At 36.1% G+C, this 18,848-nt stretch overlaps 1 protein-coding gene across 27 annotated transcripts in view; it reads right to left on the bottom strand.

Moving 5' to 3' along the window:
- The window catches only part of NAV3 (neuron navigator 3), a 641,149-nt gene that overhangs the window by 183,261 nt on the left and 439,040 nt on the right, over positions 1-18,848 (bottom strand). For all 27 annotated transcript variants that reach the window (XM_017020166.3, XM_047429817.1, XM_047429823.1 and 24 more), the window contains one exon: positions 7,888-8,003. In XM_017020166.3, coding sequence (XP_016875655.1) covers positions 7,888-8,003 — 116 coding nt within the window. The remainder of the gene's footprint in view (positions 1-7,887; positions 8,004-18,848) is intronic.

Below are 18,848 nucleotides of genomic sequence, written 5' to 3'. Positions count from 1 at the left end.
GCATTGCCAGAATACCTGTATCAGCTATGAAACAACAGCAACCACAAACAACCACAAGCTTTCCATCTCTACATTCAATGCTGTATTTGGATTAAAAGGTTACTGTACACTGTATTTTTTTTTTAGGTGAGAAGAAACATCAGAAGCAGTTGAGGGACTGGGAAGTGGGCCCCTTAGGGATGAGGTGGCATTCTGCTGTGTAGCTTTTTAAAATGTTTACCCCAGAGTCATCTGCTTCATTAACAACAGTTTTTGTCTTAGAAATCTCTCTGATTTTTATCAACTGGCATAATTTATTGTTCTGTAATGAATGTACACTGCTCTAGTTCTTCACTAAGATCATCATGCATTTCTATCATGTTGTCTCTAGGCACTTTTTCTGCAGTGTTAACATTGTTATCTTCATCATTGCTATTATCACAGTCACCTGAATTCAGCACCATTTTGGCTATGTTATCAATGTTCAATGAATGAACAACTGGAGCCTCATTATCAATGTTAAAAATTTCTTTGATATCCACTTTTTCTAGCCTACTTATGGACTCTGAAAGTATTTTTTTTTTTTTTTTTGGAATAGGTAGGGTCAGACACCATTGTTTTTCTCATTTGACATATGGAATCCTTCAAAGTCACCACCTGGTTCATCATCATCATTGAACATAGATGCAGACCAGAGGCTGTGCCAGGCAGGTACAACCATGTCTTTAGTCACTGCATTCCAAGGCTTGACAACAGCATATATGACATCCTTCATGCTAAACTCCTTTTGAAAATTTTCCACACATATACCTCTGTTCACTGCTGCTGGCATGCTATTTAAGGAAGTGTTTTTATATTTATTCTTTTTCGATTGAAGGATCACCTCGTCACTGGGCTAAATTAACAAGTCACATTTCGGGGAAAGTACATGGCATAAACATTGTTTTTGATAATAATTTCAGCTAGACAATGAGTAGAATAAATATAATCAAATAAATTCTTGCAGTCATTCAGTCCAGCTTCCTGGCAGTGAGCAAGAATTGCTGATGCAAAATGTTTGCAAAACCAACAGAAAATATGTCCCTGGTGATCCAAGCCTTTTTGTTAGCATAATAATAAACTGGTAAGAAATTCACTCCCTGAAAACAGCAGGGATGCAAGCTTTTGGTTATCACAGCAAGTTTTCATTTATGGGTTCCTGCTGTATAAGTACATCCAATCTCAGTTACTCCGTCCTTGGCATCCTTACTTCCTGTAGGGGCTGTCTTATCTTCTGTGTCAGTATCTTTCTGAGGCATCAAAACTTGTGTTGTTTCAGCATCAAAGATTTTTTCCAGAGTCAGTTTTTCATCGGCAATGATCTTGGAAAACTAGTCAATGTATGTTTTCACTATTTATCACCACAAATCTTTAAAAATTTAATGTCATATATTTTCTTAAATTTCCACAACCAGCCTATTGAATATTTAGTTTCCTTCAATTGCCAGTTCATTGTGAAAGATCTTTGCTTATTTAACCATCAGCATACCATTAAGTGGCATGTGTACACCGTGACACTGATGGATCCACTCTTTCAATACACAATTGAGATCTTCATTTTCAGCTTTATGCAGTGTTTTTCTGTTTTTCATTAATTCTGTTCATCACTTTCAATGGAGACCTTCAACAATTTATCCTTTGGTTGCTTCAGGTCATATATGGTGGTCATTCCAACACCATTCTCTTCTGGAAGATGTTTCCCACTTACACCACAGTCTAGTCTCTCCAACAGCTTGACTTTCTGTGCTATAAAAAAAACAAAACAAAACAAAACAAAACAAAAAAAAACGCTTCCTTTTTTTCTTATCACTGTTACCCATAGGGGTATCTTCAGGCCTTTTTGACATTTTCAACAATATCTTTATGCCACACAATGAAAAATAAGCAAACAAACAAAAACAAAAACAAAACAAAAACCACAGAGTAATGCGTATAGGTCTTGACCCAATGTGGGGCACTGTGGGGAACCTGCCATTGGCATGTCCATTCTGCACACATGCCATTGTATTACCCTTTGTGGGTGTGCATGGAAAAGATACATAGCAGCTAAAGGGGCTGACAGACTATTTTTTCCCCTGAGAATGCTGAATAAACTGTGTTGTGCACCTGCATTTTGACTGCAATTTGTCACAGGAGGTCAGGTTTGGAATTTTCCACTAGTGGCATTATGTCACCACACAAAAACTTATGACTTTGGGACCTTCTGAATTTTGGATTTTTAAATTATGGATGTTCAACCTGTGTTACAAATTTATTCTTCTCCCCCGGCCCCCCACCCTTTTTTTTTGGAGACAAGGTCTTGCTCTGTCACCCAGGCTTGAGTGCAGTGGCATGATCATGACTCCTGCAGCTTTGAACTTCTGAGCTTAAGCAGTCTTCTCTCTTCAGCCTCCTGAGTAGATTGGACTACACATGTGCTACACAGCACCATGCCTGAACAATTTGAATTTTTTTTTTTTTTAGAGACAGGGTCTCACTATGTTGTCCAGGCTGGTCTTGAACTCCTGGCTTCAGGCAGTCGTCCTGCCTTGGTCTCCTAAAGTGCTGCTATTCCAGGTATGAGCCACCATTCTTGGCTTTCTTCCATTTTCTAATGTGCTGTCTTAAAATCCCAGCTCAACGGGGAGAGCTTCTGAACTCTAACATTACTTCTGTAGAATAACTAAACATTTTCTTCCTCATATTCTTTGATTATTCAGTGATGGCATAATCAAAAGTAAATTTTTATTTTCCATTTATATCAACCCCTTCAGTTGAGTATAATTGGTCATAAGTTCACTGTGATTATTTCCTGAGTGCCTTCCAAAGCCAAAGATATAAGTCCTATCTTTTCTGTTTACTGTTTTCCTCTGAAAATTATTAGGTTCCTTTTTTAGCGTAGTTCTCATTTTAATGCTACATCCATTATATTAATTTCATTTTACATGCGTTTATTGAATGCTATCTATATACTAACCATCCATTGGTGATGCCACTTAATAGATAAAAGTAGAAAAAAGAAGAACTGGCAAATTCTGGATATATTTTAAAATGCAATTATTCTAGGGTATCTTAGTACCTTATTTCTTATAGTTAGTTCAATATTGTGTCATCTAAATTTTTTCAGTTTCTGAATTTCTGAGAAAATAACAAGAGTTCAAGTACTGAGAAATATCCTAAAAAGTTGATTCATATACACCATTTGTTTCTGAGTACAAATAGAAAACAATACTTCTGGAGCCAAAAATATACTATAATGAATAGAATATCAGGACATCAGGTGTGAGGCATTAAAAAGGAGCCATGAATAACTCTAAGGTTTCAGGCTTGGGCAACTGGAAGGATGAAATTCTTATTAATCAAAATGGAGAAGACTTGGGTAAAGAGTTTTCGAGGGGTACAATTTGCTAGGTTAATATCAGAGGTTCAGTTTGGGATATATTATGTTTGAAGTGTCTGTGAGATATTCAAGCGGAAAGATTGTGTTGGCAGTTGGATATTTGAGTCCAGAGTTCCGGGGAGAGAACTAGTGCAGAGAGAGACATTTGTAAGCCATCAGAATATAGATGAAATTTAAAGCCATGAGATAATATCGATATTAAATCACATTTATAGGTAGAGAAACCTAGAAGCAGAGACCTGGATCATTTAAATCATAAGAAATCATCAAGAAAAAAAGTATAACTAGAAAAGGAAACCAAAAAGGAACAGTAAGGTTTGAGGAAAACAGAGGGGATACATGACTCTGAAAATCAAGTATCTTAGTCCATTTGTGACGCTATAAAGGATTATCTGGGTGATTTATGAAGAAAAGAGGTTTATTTGGCTCACTGTTCTTTAGGCTGTACAAGAAGCTGCTTCCAGCATCTGCTTCTGGTGAGGGCTTCAGACTGCTTCCACTCACAGTGAAAGGCAAAGGGGAGCTGTTGTGCAGAGATCATATGGTGAGAGCATAAACAAGAAAAAGTGAAGGTGCCAGGTTACTTTTAACAACCAGTTTGTGTGGGACCTAACAGTGAAAATTCACTCACTCCCAGGAGAATGGCACCAAGCCATTCATGAGGAATCTGCCCCTGGGATCCAAACACCTCCCATGAGGCCCCACCTACAACATTGGGGATCAAATTTCTTTTTTTTTTTTTTTTTTTTTTTTTTTTGAGATGGAGTCTAGCTCTGTCACCCAGGCTGGAGTGCAGTGGTGCGATCTTGACTCACTGCAATCTCTGCCTCCCAGGTTCAAGTGATTCTCCTGCCTCAGCCTCCCAAGTATCTGGGACTACAGGTGTCTGCCACCGCAGCCGGCTAATGTTTGTACTTTTAGTAAAGATGAGGTTTCACTGTGTTGGCCAGGCTGGTTTCGAACTCCTGATCTCATTACCTGACCCCCTCGGCCTCCCAAAGTGCTAGAATTACAAGCGTGAGCCACCATGCCTGGCCAAGGAAATCAAATTTCAACATGAGAATTGGTGAGACCAAATAAACTGTATCCAAACTATAGCACCAAGGAAGAAACCTTCTTAGAAGAGGACAAATAGCTGCTGTGAGGTGAAATAAGATAAGCCCTGAGACTTGATCCTTGGATTTGGCCATGTTGACATTAGTGGTGACTTCAATAAGAGCAGTTCCAGTGGAGAAGTGGGGCTAAAAGCCTAAGAGACTGTGATTGAACCGTACTCTTTTTACAGCATGCCATAAGAGAAGGAGATAAATCACAACAGTACTTGAGGACAAATTTGGGGTCAAGGGAAGTTGTGGCTTTTTTTTTCCCCCTTTTTCTTGAGACAGAGTCTTGCTCTGTCTCCCAGTCTGGAGTGCAGTGGCGCTATCTCGGCTCACTGCAAGCTCTGCCTCCCAGGTTCATGCCATTCTCCTGTCTCAGCCTCCCGAGTAGCTGGGACTACAGGCGCCCGCCACCATGCCTGGCTATTTTTTTGTATTTTTAGTAGAGACGGCATCTCACCGTTAGCCAGGATGGTCTCGATCTCCTGACCTCGTGATCTGCCCACCTTGGCCTCCCAAAGTGCTGGGATTACAGGTGTGAGACACCGCACCCGGCCAGGAAGTTGTGTTTTTTAAATTAAGGTTGGAGAAATGATAGTATGCTATGGCCTAAAATAAGTGATTTGGTTGGGAGGGAGCTATTAAAGAGAAGAGAGAGTAATCTAAGTAAAAGCAGAGTAAATAGGTATTAAGTGGGTATATATGTTTTACTTGGGTAGATGTGATGACAGTGGTTCATGAACTTTTCTTTGTGCTTCACTTTTTTAAGTGAAGTACATATCCAGGTTGTCAGTTAAGAGAAAGGATGGGACTGGTGATGTCGGACATTTGAGAAAAAAAGGTATAAAAAATAGACTGACTGCCAGGAGCATTACATAGTCACTTGAGGTTGGAGGTCATATATGTAAAGTGAGTTGCATTGACATGCGGTGTGTTTTCTCCTGGTTCATTCATTGTTGGTATAGAATAGGTGGAGATTTAAATGTAACCAGGTCATGATTTCATCAAATGAGTACAATTAAGTGAGAGAGAGGCAATGGAGTTAGGATATATAAAAATAAAAATACATTCACTCATTACAGGAATTCAGCTAAGGAGAGAAGAAAAATATGCGGAGGTTGGTGAAGAACGGTAAAAAGTGGTAGGATCAATGAATTGGAAATCCTAGTGGAATCATTGCTGGAGTTAGGGAACAAAAGGAAGAATACTGAAATGATAGGAGTATATAATCAGTGAGAGTGCAGTGCATGAAAGTGAGGTCATAGAGAAGTAGTAGTTTCTGATGGTGCCTAGATCTAGGGTATGATGATGAGAATAAGAAGCTCAGGAGGGACTGCAACACAAAATTATGGGAGGAGAGGCCAAGGTGTTAGAAAGAACACCCGTGTAGATACTAAAATCACTAAAAATTAAGGCAGAAATGGTAAGAGAGTAATAGTGACCCATAAACCAAAATCTTAAAATGATGAAGATATGTAATCTAATTTCTCTGTGATAGTCATCTTATCACTGGCCTGCTCATATTTCCTCATCTAAATTTCTTCAATTATAGTACTCAATTTATAACTTACTAACTGCAAATAATATCACAATTCTTCCAGGAAATCTCAAGCAACGAGAGACATTTTCACTATCCCACTATAGGCTGCATTTAAACAGATGATAGTGAGATTGACATAATTAGACAAGTCTCACTGTACCATTTATTTTCTGTTTTCTTTCTTTTACTGAATTCTTATCAAAATCCTAGACTGAAAACTATGATTTTATGTAAATAATTGATTATTGCTGCAAAATGATATTATGCTCTCTGATAAACCCATTAAATTATTACATTAATTGCCAGTTTATATTCACTTTCAGGTATTCTATTAAAAATCAGAATGTTAAAAGGAAATATCAACTGGAAAAATGAAAAAGTGATCAAAGGGTAGACAATAAGGAAGTGGAGAAAAACATCAAATACAGACTATTCAATCAGATATACCGTGATATATTAGTTTCTGAAAACAGTGTTCCTTTGTGAAATTCACAAAAAAATTGCAATTCAAACTCTACTAAATTCATTTATCCTAAAGATTTGAGCTCTAGTGCTAAAACATGCAATTTGAGGACATTTATGTATAAATATATGAGGCATACACATCTTCATGCCATGCTAATTTTATAAAACATCTGGTCATAATAGACACATAGCATTATTTTGACCGTGGTACTACCCAGAGTTAATGGAAAGTCAACACATCCCCCATGTATTTGAAAAATCTACAATTATTAGCCCTATATCTGTGTCTTGGCATTACCATTTCTACCCCTACCTAGAACTGGCCTTTGTTGTAATCTCCATATGAAACCTCTGACGCCTAATGTTATCAACTAATGCTGATTCCAAAATGTACCCTTGGGATGTTGTTCTGTAATTGTTGTCAGTATCCACTGCAGGATGCTGTAGTCATGTCTAATGCTTGCCAAATATTTTTCAGGTCTGCCGAAGTGGGGAAGTTTCTTAACCCCCAAATTTGTGATAGAGTCGCTTGAGCTTCATAGCAATACTTATACTTTGAGTCTTTGGAGTACACAGTAATTTTTTAAAATTAAATAATTTATTTAGTTTTCTTCATTTGAACTTAGCTGTGAATACACAGGCTTGGACCAGAGATTTCCTGGAACAACAGACACACCCCTACTTTCATGCATTATTATACTTAGGAGCAGATAAAGTACTCTGTACTCTCTCACCCTTTAGGGGCAATATATTTTGCTAGGAGGTTACTTGATTCCTCACGAATATAGATCTATATGTAATGAAATTAAACTAAATGCCTTCCATATATGCTTAGGCTTACCTGGACCCTAGAGAAAACATTGTGCTCAAGCTGAGCATCCCATTTGATACACACCAAAAACATGATAACTGTGTCTGGGATATGTATTTTTTTTCTTACATCATCTATATATAATAAAATATTTTCCTTTTCAGAGTTTTTTAGAATGGTCATTTGAAGCCACCCTGTAGAGATGTTTTAAATCATACAGAATTGATGACAGAGCAGGCTGCATTAGCCATGGAGAATATACATGGCCAATCATTAGTTTATTTTCAATCTCCAAATGTATTATCCAGGTTTTCTCTGATTTTATTCAACTACTTGACTGAGGGCAAAATGACTTAAAGTCTTCACTTCTGAAAGGACTACCATTCCTTTTATAGTAACAAAGAGATCATCCTAAGCAGAATAGCCAAATAGTTAATGATCTTTGAAGCATGAGATGTATATAGTCCATTTTTGCACTAAAAACAGTATACCACATATATGATTTAATAAAAAGTCTTATGGAGAGAATACGGAAATTCCTAGGTTTGACCTATGCATCGATGAGGTCACTTACCAGATATCTCCTCCAGGCACTGCTTAGCAGTCTTACTATATGATAAGTCCATCTTTGTAGGACTGGTACAGGAGTCAGCCGATGGTAAAGCGGTACCTTCATTTTCTGAATGTGCCCTGAAATTAACCATGAAAATAGAAAGAAATAGCAGTTATAGTCACTAGTCACTCATCAAAGTGGAAGTTCTACAAGAAATATTAATTACAAATTTTCCATCAAGGTAAGTATTTCTTTATGACTGGAATGTTCCAGAGCTGTCTATGTATAGGAGAACTGTGTTATTTTTCATACACAACCTAAGTGGGAGTGAGATGTGGAATTAGATTTCTTAGGCTTGTCTAAATTTGGAAGCTTATAACTACCAATAGTTGATTATAATTTGGGAGCAAAATATTTTAAAAGATCCAACTTCTTTTGCTATTTTAGAGGAAATATGGCCAAATTACATTTTTTGTGAGAATAGTGAAAGTATTAAAATCACACCTAAAATTCTTTTTTAAAACAAAAATTCTATAAAATATATTTTAAAATATGTGTAAAAATAAAAAATAATTTTGTTCTAGACTTTATACATCATTATGATGACTTAATTACCAAAGATTTCAGAGCAATTAAAGTCAACCAGAAACAAATTCTCATTCTTACAATTACCTTTCATATCATCTGTTTCACATTTGTCTATGTATGTACATGGGTATGTATTTGTGTGTGTGGTTAACTTGTAAAGAGTGTGTCTAATTAAAAGAAAAGCACTCAACAAAGGTCCTGAATACTTTTGATATTCTAATCATACTTCATGCATGTTTCTTCCCTTTATGCATGGGTAAATATTTTAAGATATGCTTTCTATTTGATGCAGCTTCAAAATCGACGTATATTTGACACAAACTAACACACATTTTAAATGTTCACGGCATGAACTACTAAGACACAGAAGGAGGCGAGGTAATATAGGATTGCACACTGGACTGTGTTCTTTAGAGACATCTCATTTGCCTTACTTCTACCCTTTTTTTTTCTGGTAGTAGGTCTGGGCCATGACAAGTGATCTTTCAATATTTACTACTTTAAGAATATTTACAAATAATGTTCATATATGAATAAAAATGTATTATATTTTTGAATCAATGCTTAATTAACATTTTGCTTTTAATCTAAATTTGAGTTTCAAGAGAAAAAAAGTAATCATTGATATTAGAAATAGTCAATATTTAACTGACAGTCCTAGAAACTTAAAAGTTCACTTAGGTTTTAATAAAGTATGGAAAACTACATGTTGTCTGTATTGATATATGTGTTATATATGTGAATTAATATATGAAAGAAAGAACTATACAAGAAAGAAACTTTCCTATACAAAGTTGTGCCTTGGACTCCAATAATTTCTGACAGACTGTTCCTATTTTATTCTAGCTTAAAACTGAATATAAAGAGCATAAACAAATTTAGAAAGAAAATGTACTATTTAAATGATAGGATATATACCATTAAGGCCAGAAAAAAAGACCTCAAAGTAGCTAAATTTAAAAGATATTTTAGTCTTCCAATCATTTGGTATCTCGGCAGCATTTAGAACAGCAGCCCATTCCTTCCTTTATCAAACTGTACTACCTTGGCTTTTATGGCAAAAATTCTCCAGTGTGTTTCCCATTTTCTCTGGATTCTACTTTATTCTATTGTTTTCCTCTACATAATCATTAAATGTTGTGGTTCTGGGTAGTAGAAAAAGAAGTGGGGATACAGAGAGCAGAAGCGGGAGTTCAGCAAAGGAATATTCTATTCTTCTTCCAGTTTTTGTCTATAGTCTCTCTAAATGATCTCAATCATATTCATTGTATTGGTTATTATTTATTTATGCCTGAATTCTAAAATTCTAACTCTAACCCAGCACTTTACTCTGAATTCCCAATGTATATAAAGACTGTCTAATTGACATTTCTTCTTGGCTGTCACAAAAATACTTCAAACCCATCATTTATAGAACTAAAGTCATAATATTTTATTAACAAACCTGGTCCTGATTCATGGAGCCCTCTGGTGAAAACTTTACGGAACTTACAAGGTCTTGCATGGTTGGGTCCCACGCAACCTATGGGATGATGGTCTCCAGCATCATCTCACACAAGACTCCTCTCTCCTCTCTCTACTGTGGCCACCAGAGTCTTCTACCCACTTTCCACAGCTTCCTGCCAAAACAGGGTCTTTACACTTGATTATTTTCCTCCCAACTTCATCCAGTTGATTCCTTCCCTCCAAGTCTTAGCTCAAGTGACTATTTTTAAAAAATTCCTCCCTAATTTCGCTCATCAGGCAAAGTCTCCAATTATAAGCACTTCATACTTAGTATTCCCTGGACCTATGTTTTCAGAACTTCATACTCTTGTGATATGAGATTAATGTAATTAATTGATTAATGTTTAACTCCCAGACTAGACGCTATTCTCCATGTTTGAACTCACCATTGTATCCCCAGTGTCCAGTCTTGTATCAGAATATAAGTTTCAGTCAACAAATCTTTTATAAATATATGAATAAATAATATTAGCCACAACGGTAAAACAAAATTATTGGTGGGTAAAACATATGCAAGAAAGAGTAGCATATGTGTAAATATACTGGGTTTGGGTGTAAAACTTGACCCCATCACTAATCAGTTACTAACTCATGTGATGTTGGCTAGTTACTTCACCTCTCTGAACTTGTTTGTTCATCTGTAAAAATAAGAAAAAATGCCTGCCTTGCAAAATAATTGTGAAATCAACTGTTATTACAAAAGGACCGGAAATACATTCTCTCTTGTGAAATTCTGGTCAATATTAAAAGAGCAAATATATCTGCTCTTTGTGTAGGCTGTTTCTTTCTCTTCTGGACCCCAATTTCTCACATATCCCCCATCTACTGACAGTCCCTCCCCATTCGTTTCTAAAGTCTACTAAAGTCTGTTCTTCCACCTGGCTTCATCTATTGTGGGCCACTCTACCCCTCGCTGACCTCTTGCCTAACCTATTGTCTCTGAACGAAGGGAAAAACAATCCTCTGAAGTGTTCTAAGGATTTTTATTACTTGCTGAAGAAGTTTAAATGGAGAGTATGTAGTGAAACTGTGGACCCCAGGGAAAGCTGACTGGCTGCCTGCAAAGAAGTGTCACAGAGACACAGCACCTTGTTGAACTGGCTGGGAGCCAGGGTTGACCTCTAGTCCTGCAGACTTTGTATTCACAGATTTATCTTTTAGAAGCTGAGTCACATTAAGCATTTCACTGAAATATTTGTCTAAAGCCCACCGCTAATTGGTTCCTATGAGAACAAGACCAACAGCTGTCACAGGAGCAAGAATGTTTCTGGCCATGTTAGTTAAAAAAGATTCTATCTCCATCTAAGAAAGTCTGGAGTAAAAGAAAACTTGGAATGTATTTTAGCCGTATAGTTTTTGCTCTACTAAAAGCAAACAGCTCTTAAAAAGAATTCTTCAGAAGCTGACTTACAGCTATCTTCCTCAATATGTAAGACTTAATTCCATTGGTTAAGTTCCCATTCCCCCTGTCTGAGACATGCTTTTTAAAAAAATGTATTCCTACTTGTGACAGCTCAGTCTTGTCTTGGAAGCCTTTTTAAAATTTTTGTTAATGTAGCAGTGCATATTTTTGGCAGACTCACTCTTTTATGTCTTTTAGTTTAAGTCACAAGAGACTCTTATTTACCTTAAGTTCTCTGGTGTATTTCTCATCAAATTCCCTACATGAGTGATCTAACTTAGCATTAATAAGGAAATAGATTGATCGATGAAAGAAAGGAACATGGTGAAGGTAAACTTCAAATCACTGTAAAAAGGACTTAGAAGTCATCCTTGCTTTATATTCACATGGAAATGGGACCAGAAATGTCTACTGATGTTACAAGCCATCCGTTTCTCTAGTATTTCCACCTCATAATTTGTTATGGCAAAATTAGATTTTAACTCCAGTCTATAGAGGATCAATCAATGCCAACTGGTAAAGATGTACCTTTTATGCAAATGATCAAAGAAGTTGAGTTAAATCTCTGAAGACGCACAACATACCCTCTATTTTTATGCATGATTTGTACCAGTTAAATAAAAATATTTGGGTTGATTCATGAAATAATTTATAAAGACTTTAGAATCAAGAGTGTTTTCTAATCAGAAAGTACATTTTGACAGATATAGTGAATAATGCAGTGGCACATTCACTGTTTCCCCATAAACTGATAATGCATTCTCTTCCTATTAACTGGAAAAAGAAAAAATATGTATCATAATATTCCTTCAAAATATTCAGCAACATGGTCCTATGTAGACAATCTTACTGTGCATTTACAACATGGTCATCATGTTATGAGTAACTATTGAAACTATAAGATACAGCATTGCAAAAACAGTTTATCTGGATTTCTTTTATTTATTTACTTTCTGAGATAGGGTCTCACTCTGTCACCCCGGCTGGAGCGCACTAAAGCAACCATAGCTCACTTCCGCTTTGACCTTCCTGGTTCAAGAGATGCTCTCACCTCAGCCTCCAGAGTATAATTTATTTAGAATTCTAATAAGCCAGGTCCTTCATCTGTTACTGAGAGTTGTAGTAATTAAAAGTCATGATACCAGTGATTACCATGAGAGCTATTACCTGTTTTTGTGCACTTAATATGTGCCAAGTGTGGTGCTTAGTATTTTCCTAGAGCCTATCACTCAAAATTCACAATAATCTTGCAATGTAGGTGCTGCAGATAAAGAAATTAAGACATCTAGAGGTCAAATAAGTTGCCCTAGGTAACAATCTAGTAGATGCTTAACCAGTACTTGAATCTGGCTACCTGTAAATGTTGCTCTATTAACTACTACCCTGCAGTTTAACTCCATGAAAATGCCTCTGAACTAAGTATTTTACTGCATTTGAGGTTCCCTTAGCTAACAGACAGCTCAGTCACTCGGTCGTTAAATGTGACACTTCCACTGGTCTAACCTAAATGTTATTCTTTATGTACTGATCATTAAAAGGAACTCAGTAATAAATCCTAGACACTATCAAACCTCTAATCTTTAATGTCATAAACATGAATGTTTGCATACTGATTTGTATTCAAGAAATATTTCCCCCTGTGGATCCATCTTGATATAGATATGGTCACAAATGTAGACACAAGTAGAACTGATTTGAGTCAGAAACATTAACTAATGGTATTGTAATTCCTGTTTATAACCCCAACAAAAAGGAAAGAAAAGCACATATCTTTCAAAAACCACTAATGTGCTTGCTTTCCTATTTTCTTCATTCTGGAAAGGCAGACAGGTGACAGACAGGGCCAAGGCCAGGAAACTGTTGGGTTGAACAGAAGTCTAGTGTGGATGGAAGATTTACTCGATTCAGGGGAGTTGAGTAAATAAGAAAACATATTGAGAATAATGAGAGCCAAGTTTCTCATGGTTGACAAAAAGAGGCACAAGTATGGAAAGAAAAATAAACTGTGGTGTTGAGTTGGAATTGGAGGTATTATGAATGTATGTATATGTGAATAATCACATTGAATTATAATAAGGCATATATATAATATCAAAATAAATAATGCTTCAATGTATGTGTATGTATGTATGTGTGTGTATGCATACATAAATTTCTTGGTTTTGTCCACCAAGAAAACCTAGGAGCAATGAGATCTTGGTTTCTAAAATCACCCTATACAAAAAGACATACAAGTTCCTTAAAGAAAAGAATAGGATCTAAAGCCAAGTTAGGGAATGTGCAAGATGAGCCTAGAACACCTTGAGCCATAAAGAAAGAAAATTCTCAAAGAGTGATAGGGCAGTTGGAAAGGAGACACAGCCAGTTTGAAGGGGCTCCCAGTGGCCAAATCTTGGAAAATTAAGCATCAAAGTAAGTTGTGATAGTAATGAATTATAACAAATACAGTAGAAATCTATTTGTCCATACAATTTAAATAGATAGAAAGATCATGGGGAGAAAATACATCTCTTTCTTAAAGTAGAATGCCAGAGAGAAAATGCAGAAGACAGGATGGAATTAGAAAACCAGTTGTCATTAATTATTGACATTTTTTGCACATTATTAATTCAGGCAACAAAGCTCAACGGATGCTAAAACTTGTGGGTCAAAGTAGATACAAAATTGCGTTTTTACACACAGTCTCAAAATATCTTCCCACAAAAATACCTATTACATACAACTGGAGACAAATTCACTTAGAATATAAAATTGTGGCAGATATTATCTTAATCAGGCAATCAAATTCAACACAACCAAAATGGAAGATATTGATATTCATATCATGAAACACCCAATGAAATGCAACAGGAAAAACACAGTATCATTTCGATGACATTCCTGACAAAAAAAATACATTTAATATGTATCTAATAATGAGGAACTATATGACAAACCCAAATTAGAAACATTATGTAAAATGCCTAGCCATCAATATATCAATATCATGAAAGTCAGGGAAAGGCTAAACAGTTGTTCCAGATTGAGGGATATTCAGAAGATGTGACAGCTACTAGGTGCAATATTTATCCTGAATTACTAAAAGTGACCATCTTTGGTGAAACTTGGTGAAATATGAATAAGTTCTCTGAGTGCTCTGGGAGAAGTGTACATGAGAGTCATTTGCACAATTCTTGCAAATTTTCTGTAAGATTAAAATGGTTTCCAAAAACATAACATAAAATATGAAGAGAAGAAATAACAATGGTTTGGTTAGGCAATCTTGCCATGAACCTCGTAATCAAGCACAGAAAAGGTAGTTTGTGAACCTCTCTGCTGGCTCTGCTGGGAAAATGCCGACTCGTGGTAGTATTCTACACAAAAGTGCCTCTTCTAGCAGTGTGTTCATATTCCATCCTAAAAATACCGCTGTGCGAGGAAATGCAAATCACTACCTGATGTGCAGATACATATCAAACCTAGCAAAAGACGAGCTTGCAAGCCAAGCATTCAATAAGCTTTAGTTTTTACTGATAGTCAATTATGCCCAGTTCACATAAAACCATTACTGTGGTATATTATGTAGAAGTAGCTTCAGGGCTTACAAAAGCATTACCTGAATGATGGTTAAAGGCTTCACATTTCAATCTTTGTAAACTCACAGTTCCTCCTCCTCTTCATTATACTAGCTCGACAAATAAGCCAAACTTAAAACCTTGTGAGTAAGCATTTTCAAAACTAATGTTTTGCATTCTCCACCTTTTGGAAAATAGCATATTAAAATGTCAATTTCCCTGTCACATCCTAGGCAAATCTATAGTCCCACAGAAATATTTTATAATAAAAATCTCTTCTGAGAATCCATGGTGTGGTTGTATAAAGTACAGCATATTATATCAAAAGAAGGAAAAACTCTAAATTCAGATTTTCTTGACCTAATTTTACAAGTCAAGTGTTAATAGAGGGTCTCTGCTTATATTTAATTAATGGGCTTAAGAAGCATGATACTTTTCTCCTTATGAATAGTGCCTTGCCTTATCTAAGGGTTAGGTATTTTTCTTTTTTGAGAACTGCTCAAAACCCTGATTCTGCTCTCTTTGCCTCTTCATGTTTGCTTTATGTCCAATGCATTGTTTCCTTGGTATTTACTACAAATGGTCAGAAAAGAAAGAATGTAGACTTCAAAACAGCATAACTCTGGGTAAGCATTATTTCAAAACTTTGTTGGAGGCTTCTAAAGAGACAGGTTTAGGGAAAACACACAGGTCTCCCTTTTCTCTGTAATTAACCAATTATTATATTATTTTATTTCACATGTCCTTGAAAGCATGTAGAATATAGTTGTGATGTAATTAACACAAAAGCAATGGAAGAAAAATGACATATGGGAAAAAGGGAGGTATTTTTTGAAAGTCTGAAGGATGTAAGGTAACAATATTTGAACTCCAGGCAGGAAAAACAGGTTCAAATTATATAGCTCAGGATGGACACCAAGAAAGAAGAGGAACAATAAAAAAAGGAGTTTTAAAAAAACAGAATGAAAAAACTATGTGGTTCTCCTTTCTCTTTTCTTCCAATAACTGGAACCTCCTTCGAGATTTAACAAACCTAAGAAATTCAGTAAATTGCTCCTTCATCTATACATTTAACCTGGTTCATCCTACTCTGACCTCTCCCACAAACAATCCATTTTACATACTGAAGAAAGAATAACTTTTCTGATCATGCTTTCCACACACATGCTCATGTGCATGCATGAACACATGTATGCACACACACATATACATACATAAAGTCCAAGTTTCTGACATTCAAGAATTTCTACTACAACCAGGCTCCAATCAATCTTCAATGTTCAAGAGAAACTGACCTACTTGCCGACCAGCCTACGTATCTTTTATTGACTTTGTTTATGTGGTTCCTTCAGCCTTATGTTTCCCTCCCTGTCCCCCTCATCTCTGCATTACCAAATCCTACTTATCTTTCTGGACTCAGTTCAAGTGCCACTTTCCCTGATTCCAATAGCTAAAAGTAACTTTTCACTTTTTTGAAGCCTCAGTATAACAAATCTATTTCACTCCTGGGGAGCTTTACACTTCCAGCTGCATTTTGTTGTTCTCTTTGAGCTTGCCCCTTGTCTACCACATTGTGGATGATGAAAAGAAAACGACATAGGACGTATGATTTTTTCACTCAATTCTTGATGTCTCATGCATAAGAGATATTTAGTAGGTAGTTGTTGAAAGAAGATAAAAAATAAGTGAATGAATGTGCTGAAGAGAAGGTATGGTTTAATTCTTTAAATATTTTAAAGCTCTTTGTATTTCAGTTAAACCCTCCCATTTATAGGAAGTGAGAGACTTCAGAATTTTTTTTTGTTCCAGTGTACATTTTTGGCAGGTTTGAAAATTCTTCTATAGCAAGTGATTCTAACACAGGATGATAGTGTTTCATTCAACAATTTTTATTTGGTATCTACTGTAGGTGGCCTCTGTACTGGGCAATTATGCTACTAAATGAGAAAGACAAGACTCTTAATTTCAATGAACTTACATTACATTAGGAGGTGGCTGAAATCACACTAGTTAATAAGTAAACAAGAAAAGAACAGATAGTAATAAACTGTGTAAAGAAAATACAAGAGGATGATTAAATAGAATTCTGAGAAGGCGCATAATATATATTCCCCTGGAGTAGGTGGTTGGAGATGGCTGGAGATTAGCAGAGCTCTAATAACAAGACAGGCCTGCAGTGATCTAGAAGACAGTTGTTACAGTCATAAATGAACATATATGCCAAAGATATGTTCTAAAGCAATATAGGTTGGTTTGTTGAGAAGGAGGATGAAGGCTGAGATACAACGTGCTGGGGGAAGGTGGGACTGCATGTGGCTGTGGGGATCAATTGTGAACAGGGTATTAGATTACTTAGAACCTGGAGGGTCATGGTGCAATGTTTGAGTTTTATTTTTTTAATGTAATGGAAACCTAATAGATGGCTTCATTAATTAGAATAAGATATATGATTTACGCTTTTAGAAGGTCAAAATGCCATCTGTGTGAAGGATGTTACTGCAAAGAGCCCAGAGTGGAAGCTGGGAGACTCATTGGAAACTAGATGAGAATTGGTGGTGTTGTGGCTTGGACTAGGAGACAAGGGCTGGAAATGGAAAGAAAGTCTGATTGAGGGTATGTTTCAGAAGAAGGGTTAGGAAGACTAGCTGAAAATTTGATGTATGGAGAAGGGGTCATTGAAAGAGAAAAACAAAATCTAAATTATTTCCATTTCTTTTCTTCTTTAGTATCTTATATGGTTTGGCTCTGTGTCCCTACACAAATCTCATCTCAAATTGTGATCTGAATTGTAATCCCCATGTGTAGAGGGAGGGACCTGGTGGGAAGTGATGGGACCAAGGGAGCAGTTTCCCCCATGCTGTTCTCCTGATAGTGAGTGAGTTCTCATGAGATCTGATGCTTTAAAAGTGTATGGCAGTTTCCCATGTCCTCTCTTTCTCACCTGCTGCCATGTAAGACGTGCCTTGCTTCCTCTTCGTCTTCCACCTTAATTGTTAGTTTCCTGAGGCCTCCCCAGCCATGCAAAACTGTGAGCCAATTAAACCTCTTTTCTTTATAAATTATCCAGTCTCAGGAATTTCTTTATAGCAGTGTGAAAACTGACTAATATAGTCTCTCATTCATATAATTACAAATCCTAACCATTAGTGTCTATAGCAGTTCCAGTTACTAGTATTTGCATAGCAGCTCACAATTTACCTATTATTTTTCCCATCATGCCTGGATTATAAAATTGTAGAATATCAAATTCGGATGATAGCACAACATTCTTACCTCCTTGTGACAAACTGTAACTCATCTTTTATGCCTTACCCTTATCTTAACTTCTTGGTGATGCATTAGTTTACTCCATTTTGCCAGATTTGTAAAAAACCCTCTTTTTTTCTACATTAATTGTGTATGTTGCATACACTTCCATAACAGTAATGGTTTAATATTTTTGATGATATTGTTCTTACTACCCTTAGTAGACTGAGCTCCCAGAAGGCAGAGATTTTTTTAAAAAATCTTTGTATCTTCTGTTACACAGTATTTGTAGAATGAGGGATGAGTACATAAATGAAAAAGTATGCAGCAATTTCCCTTTGCTTAAACTGTAATAACTGGTCACTTTGCCACTTTTTAAATACTTCAGATGGCCATCTTAACACTATAAAAAGCAGCCTATTCCAATTTCAGGTAGCTCTAGTTATCAGGAACTTCTTAAACCAAAATAAAATATTTTCTTTAATTCTTGACATTTTGTCTTAGTTATATCTATTTGATAAATGAATAAGAATAACAGCAAATTTGAAACTACTTTATCACTCTGTAGAGATAATTGAATTACTGAAACTATGTACAGAATAATTTATATTAGATAGGAAGTTAGGCTAATAGGAAATCTATTAACTTCCAGAATCCACATTATATTTATAGAACTCTGAACACCC

Source organism: Homo sapiens, chromosome 12, assembly GCF_000001405.40.
Source record: "Homo sapiens chromosome 12, GRCh38.p14 Primary Assembly".
NCBI classification, from domain to species: domain Eukaryota; kingdom Metazoa; phylum Chordata; class Mammalia; order Primates; family Hominidae; genus Homo; species Homo sapiens.
This window is presented reverse-complemented; position numbering and strand designations above follow the sequence as displayed.